Source organism: Homo sapiens, chromosome 2, assembly GCF_000001405.40.
Source record: "Homo sapiens chromosome 2, GRCh38.p14 Primary Assembly".
NCBI classification, from domain to species: Eukaryota; Metazoa; Chordata; class Mammalia; order Primates; family Hominidae; genus Homo; species Homo sapiens.
In genome coordinates, this window is record NC_000002.12 from 109,998,709 (window position 1) to 110,014,687 (window position 15,979).

Sequence of the window (15,979 nt, forward strand, 5' to 3'; positions counted from 1 at the left end):
ATACAAAAATCAGCCAGGTGTGGTGGCAGGTGCCTGTAATTCCAGCTACTCGGGAGGCTGAGGTAGGAGAATTGCTTGAACCCAGGAGGCGGAGGTTGCAGTGAGCAGAGATCGCACTACTGCACTCCAGTCTGGGCAACAAGAGCAAAACTTCATCTCAAAATAAAAAAAATAAAAAACATAAAAAAGACATTTGCAAGGACCATGTCCTCACCCAGAATGGTGCCTGCCTTTCTACAGTTTTTCAGGAAGAGGAAACATTTTCTGCTTCTCTCGCTGAGGTTTTTTTTAACCACCCATTAGGAACCTATAGATTTCAGGATCAAACACTGGGATTCCCTCAGCACTAAAGGAGGAAAATTGCAAACAGAGCTGAAAGTGCAATGTGGAAAGGTCAGGCTGAGGAAGGTTCTTAGCCAGTAGACCAATGGCAGGAAGGACACTGCCTCCTCAGTCTCCCACTAGGGAACTTGTGGTTCTTGTCCCCTGACCTCAGAATTCCTTGTCATGTTTGTTTTGTCTCCAAGGGAAGGGTTTGCATTACAGAATTTAAGGCTAGAGTGGGCCTCGTGCAGTTAACATTAACCCTCTCTCTCCTTTGCTGGCTGAGGTGAAGTCTGGGACCATATAGTTCTGACGTCCACTCTCTCGGGGGATCACCAGTTCACCCACCTCACCTGGCAAGCTGGGCCCTAGTTTGGTGACAGGCATCTTCCACCCACCTGGGAGGCAGGGTTCAACACTCTGCCTCTGACCTTGTTTCCTTCCTCTGCCACCTGCTTAGGCAGCCAGAAGGGGTTGTCTAGCCAGCCTGGGCTTTGGTGCTCCTCAGGCAGGTGGAGGAAGTTTCAGGCACCTGGCTCCTCAGGTGTCTGCCATCCAGGTGCTCTTCAGGCCTGCCCAGCAGGGCTCTCTTGATCCAGCTAGAACTGGCCAGAACTGACTCACTCAGGAATGTGTAGACTTTGGCATCAGGGGCTGCTTTAATTTGCACAATTTCCAAATACCTCTTTTTTCTTCTTTTTCTGATGAGTCATCTCCCTAGACTTGCATTTTAAAGAGACAGATAGTTATCAGGTTCCAGAGAAGACATGGTAGAATGTTTATATCTCAAAGGCACAGAGTTGAGACTTCAGGTTTAGATACTATCATTTGCCTAAACCAAAAAGGAGCGTGTAGGTAAAGTTCTAGTCAAGACAGGATGGCCAGGAAAAACACCTTAAACCAAGGGACGGCTTGCTTTGCTGATTTAAGCCAATGGCTTCTTTATCATAAGACTTCCCAGTAATTTAGTCCTTCCTCTCTTCCAGTGCACAGAGACATACCCCTCCTTACAAATAAAAATTTTCTTTATAGATGTAAATTTATTTTACAAAAATGTTTCAAAATAACCAGATGAAAATCATCATTATGCCAGAAAGACTTGTTTTTTTTTTTTTTTTTTTTCTCATTAATAGAAACGAAACAGTAAGTATTTGTTGTATTGACGTACTTAGGCTCAGACCTATGTTTAACAAGAAAGCCTAATAATAGCACTGTGGTTAGACTCTAGCCATCATTTAATTATTTAGGAAATAAAGGATCAAATACCTTTCATTCATCTGATATGATTCTTTAAAACACATTCCACTAATAAGTCCCATTTGGAACAGCTGAAAATCTTTTAGTAAAAGCTTTTTAAAGATGAGCTCGTGGCTTAGTGTAAATTTCACAAGCTTAATTAGGTCAAATGGAAGGAACTCAGATGAGTAGTTGCCCAATCAGAGCCCATTATTTGTAAGTCATCAGCCCCCTTCATGACCTAAAAACTCTACTCTGACCTAGTTATTGCAAACCTATATACAACAAAGTGAAAGGATTAATTTTCATTCATCAACCTCTCAATCCTAGATTTTCAAAGAAAAAACCTATCTAAGGAATACTTACAAAAATCAGACAGGAAAATTAGAGCCTGCATACTTAAGAGTCAAATTTGTTCCACTACAGCCAGGTCGCATACAATTACATCATTTGGTTCTTCGTACACGCTAGAACTGACCAGGACAGAGTTTAGCGTAGAAAAACTGTAAGAAATAGGTTCCTACACATAGGAATTGCAAAGTTCAAAAGGGTATGAAGAAAACTAATATAAATGAGAGACTCCCCTCCGTTTTAAAGAAATACACGCTCTCTAAAAATATACGCAATTTTTACAAATACATTTATAAGTTGTTTTTATCTTAAAAATTGGGGATATTTCACATTTATAACTAATTATTGAGACTTAAGTTTTCTTGGCCATTTCTAGGCTAATAAACTAAGAATCATTTAAACTAAGCCAAAGTAGAATAGATATAAAAGTCCTGAACACTTCAACTTCCTACTCTTCAAGAAGTATACCCGGCAAAGCTCATTTGAGAGAGGAAATGCTTTCCTCCACCCTCTGTTTTACAGCGCTGAGGCTTCTTATCACAGTTCTATGACTTGTAGCTTAAATCCATGTTACATGGTCACTGACATTGTTGGTGCTTCTCTTTTAACACTGTAGGAATTAATTCGGTGGCATATTTAATTAATTTTATCACTAGCCTGGCTGCTGGCCACCCTTCTCAACAAGGAAATTAAGTCAGAAAGGCTTATTTTCACTAAGTAAGACTTCGGGAACATGGCAAAGTTCATGACAATAAGAAAGAAGTGGCAGCAAGGGTTGGAAAAGAGTGGTTTCAGTCAACTGAGAGGTTCCCATGGGAGAAGCAGGATCAAAGAGAGAGAGAGAGAAAACAGGGAGGGCTGATTAGATTAGTCGATAGTTGTCCCAAGAGTGATGCCTTTGAGGGCTTCCCTTAGTGGGGAAACAGTCCAGGCCAAAGGGATGACCCGTGAGATGGCTGCTGTAAAAGTGGACAATTCTTTTTCCAGTGGCCTGGCTATTTGCAAAAAAGGCAGACATCTTAGGGCACAGGGGTGTTTAGTTTGCATGCACAAGTACAAGTACTCTCAATCCCTGCAGTTGTTGTAACTGGGAAGACACGCACCTATTTACCTTTGTAAGGGTTTCCCCACTGTCACCACTGTAACTCTAGGTTATCTTGAGGGAGGCCAAACTTATCTATCTACTGAACCCAGTCCAGTTTCCATCTGATCATCAGACTGAGTGGCCTCCTACCTCGATCCAATGCAGTTCACAATCAAATCCAACTTGATGCTGGACTCAGTCAAGTTTTTGCCAATGACTCGTCAGCTACCCAAACCTCAAAAGGCCGTATATTATCTCACAGCAGAAACTGGCCATTGGCACCCATCCCAAGATAATTTGCCCTCTCACAGCACAAAACCCTGGATTTGAAACCCAAAAGGATCAAGGTTCAATGCAAAAAGAACAGAGTCTGGCCTAAGAGGAATGTACAACCTCAGAAGGAGGGCAAAGGGGCCAGCAGTGTCTTTCCTGCTTTCCTCAAGGGGTCTTGGGAGGTGGATCCCATTCAGCTTGCCAGAACTCTCAAAAGACAAAATTACAACAAATTTAGTTTAAAGATCTTATTTAGCTTTTATTTATTATTTCAGAATCAACTTTGAAACCCAGTCTGGATAAAAAAATTGGCTTAAACAAATGCATAGCTCAAAACACAAATTCTTGGAGCTTCAAAATTTGAGAGAGAACTTGCCCAGGACCCCTGCTGCTGTGAGAGATCTGTGTGCACAATGGGCCTGGTGGGTCGCTGTGCTTGGCCACTCCATGCTTCTGGGGTTTGATGGAAGTTCTACTTCAGATTGCATTTCCTACACGAATCTGTTAAAAAAAAAAACAAAACCTTTACATACATTAAATTTAGCAGAGTTTATTTGAGCAAAGAAACAATTTAGGAATCAGGCATCAGTTTGCACCAAAAATGGCTCAGAACACTCCATGCCACCGTATGTGCAGGTTATATTTACAGCTAGAGAAAAAGAAGTGCACGGAAACAGCCTGATTGGCTGCTGTTGGCATTTACCTTATATAGTCATGTTTTGGCAGCTTTCAGCCTCTGATTGGCTGAAGGCTCAGCTGTTTTCATTGGCTGAGACATAGTTACATGTTATAAGACTACAGTCTTGGGTTAAGTTAGTTATTTTTACACATTAAGTTAGGTTTCAACTAGCTATGTATAGAGAACTCATTAGGCCAAACTTAAAATAAGTATGGAGGCAGCTTTAGGACAAAGATAATTCAATTTAACAATACCCTTATGTATATTTTACGCTTTTTATGTATTTCTATATATATTAATAAATATAAGTAGTTGTATGTACATATATAAAAACATACCTATGTGTGTGCATACACATGTATGTGAGTATATATTTTTGCTTCTACCTTGTATGAGCAAAGTATGCCAGAGTGGCAGAGTGCTACATATATATGTGTAAATTTCTATATTAAATATATTTATGTATGTTACCTATATATTTATATGCTCATAAATATATGTTTCCTTGAATAGTCACCTATGTTCTATATTTCTAAATTTATAAATATGCATATTTATGTGTGTGTATATGTACATATATTTATATTTAATTTTTATGTGTTGCTTCTGCCTTATTTGTTAAGGTAGCCCAAAATGGCAGAGAGATTACATATGTATGCTATAAATGTTTATACTATATATATTATGTTTATGTATATATTTATATATGTTACGTAGTTCTTTTTTTCAAGAATTTGAAAAAGTTTCTAAATTGAGGAAAAATTTACATAAGATTAAGCACTTTAAAGTGTATCATTCAGTGACATTTAGGACATTCTTAACACTCTCTAGTTCCAGAATTTTTTTTCTTTTTTGAGAGGGGTCTCATTCTGTCCCTTATGCTGGAGTGTGGTGATGAGATTTTGACTCACTGCAATCTCCACCTCCCAGGCTCAAACAATCTTCCCACCTCAGCCTTCTGAATAGCTGGGACCACAGGCACGTGTGCCACCACGCCCAGCTAATTCTTCGTATTTTTTTTAGTAAACATGGGGTTTCACCATGTTGCCCAGGCTGGTCTTGAACTCCTTAGCTCAGGTGATCCACCTGCCTTGGCCTCCCAAAGTGCTGGGAGTTTTTATAGTTCGAAGTCTTACATTTAAGTCTTTAATCCCTCTTGAGTTAATTTTTGTATATGGTGATAAGTAGGGGTCTAGTTTCATTCTGGCATCTAGATAGCCAGTTATCCTGGAATCATTTATTGAATAGGAAGCCCTTTTCCTATTGCTTATTTTTGTCACCTTTGCCAAAGATCAGTTAGTTGTAGACGTGTGGCTTCATTTCTGGGTTCTTTATCCTGTTCTAATGGTCTATGTGTCTGTTTTTGTACCAATACCATGCTGTTTTGGTTACTGTAGCCTTGTAGTATAGTTTGAAGTGAGGTAGTGTGATGCCTCCCGCTTTGTTCTTTTTGCTTAGGATTGCTTTGGTGATTTGTGCTCCTTTTTAGTTCCTTATAAATTTTAGAATAGGTTTTTTTTCTAATTCTGTGAAAAATGACATTGGTAGTTTGATAGGAATAACATTGAATCTAGAGATTGCTTTTGATAGTATGTGGCAATTTTAACAATATTGATTCTTCCTATCCTTGAGCATGGAGTGTTTTTCGATTTGTTTGGGTCAGCTCTGATTTCTTTCAGCAGTGCTTTGTAATTCTTGTTTTCTTGTTGTAGAGATCTTTCACCTCCCTGGTTCCCTTTATTCCTTGGTATTTGTGTGTGTGTGTGTGTGTGTGTGTGTGTGTGTGTGTGTGTGTGTCTATTGTGAATTAAATGGCATTCTTGATTTGGCACTCAGCTTGGATATTGTTGGTGTATAGAAATACTGCTGATTTGTGTACCTTGATTTTGTATCCTGAAACTTTGCTGAAGTTGTTTATTAGATCTAGGAGCTTTTAGGCAGAGACTATGGGGTTTTCTAGGTATAAAATCATGTTATCTGCAAACAGAGATAGTTTGACTTCCTGTCTTCCTATTTGGATGCCTTTACTTCTTTCTCTTGCCTGACTGTCCTGGCTAGGATTTCTAGTACTGTGTTAAATAGGAGTGATGGGAGTGGGTATCCTTGTCTTGTTCCACTTCTCAAGGGGAATGATCCCAGCTTCTGCCTGTTCAGTGTGATGTTGGCCGTGGGTTTGTCATAAATGGCTCTCATTATTTTGAGGTATGTTCCCTCAATACCTAGTTTATTAAGGGTTTTTAACATAAAGGGATGTTGAATTTTATCAAAAGTCTTTTTTGCATCTATTGAGATGATTATGTGGTTTTTGTTTTCAGTTCTGTTTATGTGATAAGTCACATTTATTGATTTGCATATGTTGAACCAACCTTGCATCCCAGGCATAAACCCTGCTTGATTATGGCGGATTAGCTTTTTGATGTGCTGGTAGATTCAGTTTGCTAGTATTTTGTTGAGGATTTTTGCATCTGTGTTCATCAAGGATATTGGCCTGTAGTTTTTTCTTTGCTGTGTCTCTGCCAGGCTTTGGTATCAGAATGATGCTTGCCTCATAGAATGAGTTAGTGAGGAGTCTCTGGTCCTCAATTGTTTGGAATAGTTTCAAGCAGGGATGGTAGCAGCTCTTCTTTATACGTCTGGTAGAATTTGGCTGTGAATTCATCTGATCCTGGGCTTTTTCTTGCTCAAAATCATAAAATTAGATGGAAATTATTTTATTACTGATTCAATTTCAAAACTCATTATTAGTCTGTTCAGGGTTTCAGTTTCTTCCTGGTTCAATTTTGCGGAGTTGTGTTTTCAGGAATTTTTCCACATTTTGTAGGTTTTCTAGGTGCCTAGAGGTGTTCATAATGGTCTCAGAGTTTTTGTATTTCTGTAGGGTCATTGATAATGTCTCCTTTGTCAATTTTGATTGTGTTTATTTGGATTTTCTCTTTCTTCTGCTGTTAGTCTAGTTAGCGTTCTAGCTATCTTATTTAGTCTTTAAAAAAAACTTCTGGTTTTATTGATCTTTTGTATGTTTTTTCATGCATCACTTTATTTCAGTTCGGCTCTGATTTCAGTTATTTCTTGTCTTCTTCTAGTTTTAGGGTTGGTTTGATCTTGTTTTTCTAGTTCTTCTAGGTGTGATGCTATGTTGTTAATTGGAGATCTTTCTAACTTTTTGACATGAGCATTTAATGCTATAAACTTTCCTCTTAACAGTGCTTTAGCTGTGTCACACAGATTCTGGTATGTCTTATCTTTTTTTTCTTTGGTTTTGAAGCTTTATTTCTGCCTTAATTTCATAATTTACCTAGCAGTCATTCAAGAGCAGGTTGTTCAATTTCCATGTAATTTTATGGTTTTGAGCAATCTTCTTAGTATTTGCTTCTATTTTTATTGTGCTGTGGTTTGAGAGTGTAATTGGTATGATTTCAATTTTTAAAAATTTGTTGAGAATTGTTTTTTGTCTGATTGTGTGGTCAGTTTTAGAGTATGCACCACGTGGTGATGAGAATAATATATATTCTGTTGTTTTGGGGTGGGGAATTCTGTAGATGTCTGTTAGTTCCATTTGGTCAAGTGTTGAGTTCAGGTCATATATTTTTTAGTTTTCTGCCTTGATGATCTGTCTAATACTGTCAGTGGAGGGTTGAAGTCTCCCACTATGATTGTGTGGAAATTTAAGTCTCCTCACAGGTCTCTAAGAACTTGTTTTTATGAATCTGGGTGCTCCCTGGGTGCACACATAATTCTTGTGTTGGATGCATATATATTTAGAAGAGTTAAGTCTTCTTGTTGAATTGAACACTTTACCATTATGTAATGCCCTTCTTTGTATTTTTTGATTGTTGTTGACTTAAAGTCTGTTTTGTCTGAAATTAGAATAGCAGCCCCTGCTATTTTTTTGTTTGTTTGTTTTGTTTTTGTTTTCTGTTTACTTGGTAGATTTTCCTCCATCCCGTTACTTTGAGCCTATCTGTGTCATTGCATGTGTGAGATGGGTCTCTTGAAGATGGCATACAGTTGGGTCTTGTTTGTTTGTTTGTTTGTTTTTAATTTTTTGAGACCGTTCTGTCTCTTTCACCCATGCTGGAATGCAGTGGCACAATTATGGCTTACTGAAGCCTCAATCTCCTGAGTTCAGGTGATCTTTACACTTCAACTTCTGGAGTAGCTGGGACTACAAGTGCAGGCCACCGTGCCTAACTAATTTTATATTTTTTATAGAGATGAGTTTTTCCCATGTTGCCCAGGCTGGTCTCGAACACCTGGGCTTAAGCGATCTGCCCACCTTGGTCTCCCAAAGTGCTGGGATTACAGACATGAGCCATTGCACCCAAGTGGGTCTCGCTTCTTTATTCAACTTGCCACTCTGTGCATTTCAATTGGGGCATTTAGCCCACTTACATTCAAAGTTAATAATTCTATGTATGGAATTGATCCTGTCCTTATATATATATATTTTTAGCTGGTTATTATGCAGACTAGACTTGATTTTGTAGTTGCTTTGTAGCATTAATGGTCTATGTATTTAAGTGTGTTTTTGTGATGACTGGTAATGGTCTTTTGTTTTCATATTTATTTTATTTTATTTTGAGACAGGATCTCACTCTGCTGCCCAGGCAGAGTGCAATGGTATGATCTGGGCTCACTGCAACCTCTGCTTCCTGGGCTCAAGCCATCCTCCTGCCTTAGTCTCCTGAGTGGTTGGGACCACAGGCGCATACCACCATTCCTAGCTGATTTTTATATTTTTTGTAGAGACAGGGTTTCACCATGTTGCCCAGTCTGGTTTTGAACTCCTGGGCTCAAGTGATCTGCCTGCCTCAGCCTCCTGAAGTGCTAGGATTACAGGCGTGAGCCACTGCGCCTGGCTTGTTTCTATATTTAACACTCCCTTAGAGACCTCTTTTAAGGCAGGTCTGGTGGTGATAAATTCCCTTAACATTTGCTTGTCTGAAAAGTATCTTCTCCTTTGCTTATGAAGTTTGTTTGACTGTATATGAAATTTTTGGGCTCCCCGGCATTGCGCCATCAAAAACAAAGTCGTTCTCCAACTTCTTGTCCTGCATCACTGCCATCGCAGCTCTCAGCACTAAAAAGGTGGCATCAGACTCCTCCAAAGAACAAGTGGCCAATTCGAGGGAATCCTCCTCGTTATCAAAAGAAGTAAACGACAGTCCGAGAGCCGCCGACAAGTCTCCTGAATCCCAGAATCTCATCGACGGGACCAAAAAAACATCCCTAAAGCAACTGGATAGTCCCAGAAACATCTCAAGTGAGAACAGCATCAAAGGAACCCCGGCTTCTCCCGCAGGGTCCACACCACCAATCCCCAAAGTCCGCATAAAAACCACTAAGACGTCTTCTGGGGAAATCAAGAGAACAGTGACCAGGGTATTGCCAGAAGTGGATCTTGACTCTGGGAAGAAACCTTCCGAGCAGACGGTGTCTGTGATGGCCTCTGTGACATCCCTTCTGTCGTCTCCCGCATCAGCTGCCACCCTTTCCTCTCCCGCCAGGGTGCCTCTCCAGTCTGCAGTGGTGACCAATGCAGTTTCCTCTGCAGAGCCCACCCCTAAACAGGTCACAATCAAGCCTGTGGCTACTGCTTTCCTCCCAGTGTCTGCTGTGAAGACAGCAGGATCCCAAGTCATTAATTTGAAGCTCGCTAACAACACCACGGTGAAAGCCACGGTCGTACCTGCTGCCTCTGTCCAGAGTGCCAGCAGCACCATCATTAAAGCTGCCAATGCCATCCAGCAGCAAACTGTCATGATGCCAGCATCCAGCCTGGCCAATGCCAAACTTGTGCCAAAGACTGCATCTTGCCAACCTTAACCTTCTGCCTCAGGTTGCCCAGGCCACCTCTGAACTCTGCCAAGTGTCAATCAAAACTCAGCAACAGATAAAGAAGGCAATAATTAATGCAGCAGCCTCACAAGCCCCCAGAAAGGTGTCTCGAGTCCGGGTGGTGTCGTCCTTGCAGAGTTCTGTGGTGGAAACTTTCAACAAGGTGCTGAGCAGTGTCAATCCAGTCCATTTACATCCCAAACCTCAGTCCTCCTGCCAATGCAGGGATCACATTACTGATGCCTTGGTACAAGTGCTTGGAGTGTAGGGACTCCTTTGAACTTGAAAAGAGTCTGACCCAGCACTATGACAGATGGAGCATGTGCATCGAAGTAACATGCAACCTTTGTACAAAGAACCTCGTTTTTTTACAACAAATGCAGCCTCCTTTCCCATGCCCGTGGGCATAAGGAGAAAGGGGTGGTAATGCAATGTTCCTACTCAATTTTAAAGCCAGTCCCAGCAGGTCAAACGATAGTTTCTCCATCAACCAATACTTCTTCTTCATCAGAGGAAAAATCCACTCTTCAGAGCCCTGTGGGAGCTGGCATACACACTGTCACAAAAATTCAGTCTGGCATAACTGGGACAGTCATATCGGCTCCTTCAAGAACTCCCAGCACTACAGCCATACCCCTAGATGAAGACCCCTCCAAGCTGTGTAGACATAATCTAAAATGTTTGGAGTGTAATGAAATCTTCCAGGACAAGACATCGCTGGCTACACATTTCCAGCAGGCTGCAGATATGAGTGGACAAAAGACTTGTACTATCTGCCAGATGCTGCTTCCTAACCAGTGCAGAGAATCCATCAGCACAAATCTCCTTACACCTGCCCTGAGTGCAGGGCCATCTGCAGGTTGGTGCACTTCCAGACCCACGTCACCAAGAACTGTCTGCACTACACAAGGAGAGTTGGTTTTTGATGTGTACGTTGCAATGTTGTGTACTCTGATGTGGCTGCTCTGAAGTCTCACATTCAAGGTTCTCACTGTGAAGTCTTCTACAAGTGTCCTATTTGTCCAATGACGTTTAAGTCTGCCCCAAGCACACATTCCCACACCTACACACAGCATCCTAGCATCAAGATAGGAGAATCAAAAATAATATATAAGTGTTCCATGTGCAACACTGTGTTCACCCTGCAAACCTTGCTGTATCGCCACTTTGACCAACACATTGAAAACCAGAAGGTGTCTGTTCTCAGGTGTCCAGACTGTTCTCTTTTATATGCACAGAAGCAACTTATGGTGGACCATATCAAGTCTATGCATGGGACATTGCAAAGCATTGAAGGGCCAACTTGGGTGTAAACTTGCCTTTGAGCATTAAGCCTGCAACTTATAATTCAGCATATCAGAACAAAGAGGACAGCAAATCCATGAATGGGAAAGAGAAATTGGAAAAGAAATCTCCATCTCCTTTGAAAAAAATCAGTGGAAACCAAGAAAGTGGCCAGTCCTGGGTGGACATGTTGGGAGTGTGACCGCCTGTTCATGCAGAGAGATGTGTACATATCCCACGTCAGGAAGGAGCATGGGAAACAAATGAAGAAACAACCCTGCTGCCAGCGTGACAAGCCTTTCAGCTCATCCCACAGCCTGTGCTGGCACAACCGGATCAAGCACAAAGTCATCAGGAAAGTGTACACCTGTTCACACTGCTCAGACTCTAGAGGTACCTTTACCAAACAGTTGATGTTGGAGAAGCATGTCCAGCTGACGCATGGCATCAAGGACCCTGACCTGAAAGAAATGACAGACGCCATCAATGAGGAGGAAACAGAAATAAAAGAAGACCCCAAGGTCCCCAGTCCCAAGTGGAAGTTGAAAGAACCGGTTCTGGAGTTCAGGCCTCCCAGAGGAGCAATCACTCAACCAAAGCTGAAAATCAATGTTTTTAAGGTTCACAAGTGTGCCGTGTGTGGCTTCACCACCGAAAACCTGCTGCAGTTCCACGAACACATCCCTCAGCACAAATCGGATGGTTCTTTCTACCAGTGCCGGGAGTGTGGCCTCTGCTACATGTCACGTCTCTCTGTCCAGGCACCTCTTTGTTGTACACAAGTTAAAGGAACCTCAGCCAGTGTCCAAGCAAAACGGGGCTGGGGAAGATAACCAACAGGAGAACAAACCCAGTCACGAGGATGAATCTCCCAATGGCGCCATGTCAGACAGAAAGTGCAAAGTGTGTGCAAAAACTTTTGAAACTGAAGCTGCCTTAAACACTCACATGCAGACACATGGTATGGCCTTCATCAAATCCAAAAGGATGAGCTCAGACGAGAAATAGCCACAGACGCTCCATGAGGAAAATCCCTGTCCACATTGGCATAAGACACTTTTGTTACACAAAGTTTGCAGTATAATAGAGTTAACAATACTGTCTAGGCTGTTGCAATATATTCTCTTTCAACGTGCCTTCCTTCTTCATCTTGTCATATATATCCTCATTAAGTATTAAAACAGATTTTGAGTTTAAAAGAGTTTGTATATATTTAAATGAATAACTTTTTATACTCTTTGTTACATGTTTGTATCAGTATTCAGTGGAAAACGTTTTGAGTTGTTTTGGGTTAGAATTTTTCTTTTTGTGCTGTTTCTTTAAAACAGAGTTCTTAGTAACAGGGGCAGTTCCTGAATTCAAATAAATCATTTTGTATGTTTCGAATTTGAATGGGTTAACTAATTACAGGCTAAAATAATGCCTTTTTTAGTGTTTTTAATTGTTAGAATTCACTACATAAATTGGAAGTAATCGTGGGTCTCAAAAACACTAGGAACTTTTAAATGTCTTAGCACCTCCTCCATGTGCCTGCCCTGAGGGAGCGAGTACACGTTTGAGACAACTGCACTCCAGTGTGGGCATGTCTTTGTCTTCAGGCCACGCCGAAGGGTGTCTAAAGCAGCCTTGCAGGTCGCTCCTTTCCCAGCCGTGGATAAAAACTGAAGCCAGGAATCTAATAAGGAATGCTGATTTCCTCAATTCCATTTTGAGGAATGGGGAAGGCTATTCTAAAGAAGAAAAAAAATGGGACAGGTTTTCTGGGTAGATCTGCAAGTCTGGCTTTAAGAGCACAAGGAGGAAAAGTAACAAAAGGGCTGGACTACTGTAAAAGTTACAAATACGTAGTTAGACCAATAGATCTATATAGTCAGGTTTTTGTCATGTAATTTATTAACTATTACAGAAACACAACTAAGAATATCAAGTATTTCTCTGGCTCTTGATAGAAAAAAAAAATCAGCTGACTTAATCCTTTGCTGTCAAAAGAGTTGGCGTTTCCTGTTCTGGGTGCTACTGCCAAACGTTCTGGTGCTTAGAGGTGGGATGCACGACGTCAACCACCGACTTATCAATGCAGCCGGCTGTGTGTCACAATTGGCCGTTACCTTAAGCACTGAGCCACACGGGATTAGTTCAGCCATTTCAAGAGGTACATTTAACGTCGGCAGTTCTGCTTTACTAAAATGCAGTAGAGGTACTCTTCTGTCCCTTCCGTTTATAGTTCTCTGAGAGAGTTATATTTTTTGGTTTTGTTTTGTGTTTTCTTTTGAATTTTATATCTTGTATTTATCCCTGAACATGTTTTGTACTTTTTTTTTTAAGAAAAGGAATTATTTTGTGTATATATAGACACTTGCATGATATACTGTAGTCAATGTTCGGTTCCTCGAAAGGTCTTGCTGCTGTCAGGTGTTATACACTCCATCCATCATAACTGTATGAAACACATTTCATATGTAAATAAACGTGGGACATTTGAAAAAAATATTTTGTTCTATGTAGTTGAAAATCATTGGCTAAGTTCATTATAACCTCCTTTCTGCATCTTACCCTCATCCACACCATTACAGCCTTTCATTAATTGTAAATTCTTTTGTCTGTATTTTCCATATCTACTTAGTACTACTTTTTGGAATGAATCTTTTATGCCCTGCTCTGGTCAATAATCTTGGGTGAAATGAGAACACAAAGCCAGAGAGACCAGGTTTCTGTAGTTCTCTAACATCGGATGCTAATACAAATTCTGCTGTGCAGTGCCCAGGCATTGCCACCCCTCTGGAGAGAATTCTATGGCTACATCCCTGAATGTCAACAGTTCCATTTCTAGGCTTGCAGCAGGTTCTGGTGTCTTAGCTATGGATCTCCCAATACCTGCTGGTCCATAGAGACTGGGCTTCTAGGAACAGAAGACACAGAGCAGTGAACAGGAGCCAGTTTCATTCTGCCTATGGATAGGCAGTTATCCCAGCACTATTTATTGAATACGGAGTCCTTTCCCTATTGCTTATTTTTGTCAGCTTCACGGATGTTCACTTGGTTGTAGGTGTGTGACTTTATTTCTAGGTTCTCTATTCTGTCCCACTGGTCTATGTATCTGTTTTTGTACCAGTACTGTAGTGTTTTGGTTATGTAGCCTTCTAATATAGTTTAAAGTTGGATAGTGTGATGTCTCTGGCTTTTTTCTTTTTTCTTCTTTTTTTTTTTTTTTTTGGCTTAGGATTGCTTTGGTGATTTCTGCTCTTTTTTTCATTCCATATGGATTTTAAAGTAGTGTTTTTCCTAATTCTGTGAAAAACAACATTGGTAATTTAATAGGAATAGTGTTAAATCTAGAGATTGCTTTGGGCAGTACGGCCGTTTTAATGACACTCATTCTTCCCATCCATGAACATGGAATGTTTTTCCATTTGTTTGTGTCATCTGTGATTTTATTCAGCAGAAATTTTTGTTATTCTTGTGGAGTTCTTTCACCTCCTTGGTTAGATATATTCCTAGGTATTTTTTTATGTGGCCATAATAAATGGGATAGCATTCTTGATTTGGCTCTCAGCTTGGATGTTATTGGTGTATACAACTGCTGCTGACTTTTGTACATTGATTATATATTCTGAAATTTTACTGAAGTTATTTATCAGTTGTTTGAATTTTTGGTAGTCTTTTAAGGTTTTATAGGTATTGAGTAATATCATCTATGAAGAGAGATAATTTGACTTATTCTTTTCCTGTTTGAATTTCCTGTTTTTCTTTCTCTTGCATAACTGCTCTGCTACGACTACCAGTACTATGTTGAGTCAGAATAGTGAGAATGGGCAACATTGTCTTGTTCTGATGCTTAAGGGGAATGAATCCAGCTTTTGCCAGTTCAGCATGAGCTTGGCTGCGGGTTTGTCATAGGTAACTCATTATTTTGAGGTATACTCCTTTGATGTCTAATTTGTTGAGGGTTTTTATCATGAAGAGATGTTGGGTTTCATTTAAAACTTTTTCTGCATCTGTTGATGATCATGAAGTTTTTACTTGTGTTCATGTTTTTTGTAAATTTTGTTTATTTGGTGAATCACATTTATTTATTTGCATATGTTGAACCAACCTTGCCTCCCATGAATAAAGCCTATTCAATCATGGTGAATTAACTTTTTGACGTGTCGCTGGATTCAGTTTGCTAGTATTTTGTTGAGGATTTTTGTGTCTGTTCATCAGGAATATTGGCCTGTAGTTTCCTTTTTTTGTTGTGCCTGTGTCAGATTTTGGTATCAGGATGATGCTGGTTTTATAGAATGAGTTAGGGAGGAGTTCCTTCTCCTCAATTTTTTGGGGAATGTTTCAGTGGGATTGGCACCAGCTCTTCTTTGCATGTCTGGCAGAATTTGGCTGTGAACTAATTGGTCTAGGACATTTCTTGGTTAGTAGGTTTTTTATTACTGGTTTATATTTTTCGAACTTGCTGTTGATCTGTTCAGGATCTCAATTTCTTCCTAATTCTCCCTTGGGAGGTTTTGTGTTTCTAGGAATTTATTCATTTCCTCTAGATTTCTAGTTTGTGTGCACAGAGGTGTTCATAATAGTCTCTGAGGCTTTTTTGTATTTCCGTGGGTATCAGTTCTGATTGTATTTATTTGAATCTTCTTTCTTTGTTAGTCTACCTAGCATTCTATCAATCTCACGTATTCTTTGAAAGAACCAAATTTTAATTTCATTGATCTTTTATATGGCTTTTTGGGTCTCAATTTTATTTCTGCTGTGATTTTTGTTATTTATTTTATTCTGGTAGCTTTGGATTAGTTTGTTCTTGTTTTTTTAGGTCCTTTAGGTGTGATGTTAGATTGATAATTTGGTATCATTCTAGCTTTTTGAGGTAGGCAAACCACTTAAGCACTATAAACTTTCTTCTTAATACTGCTTTTTCT

The 15,979-nt window shown here is 40.1% G+C and overlaps 1 pseudogene; it reads left to right on the top strand.

Moving 5' to 3' along the window:
- On the top strand, positions 8,949-12,274 carry LOC645135 (zinc finger protein 532 pseudogene; annotated as a pseudogene).
- The last annotated feature ends 3,705 nt before the right edge of the window (positions 12,275-15,979 follow it).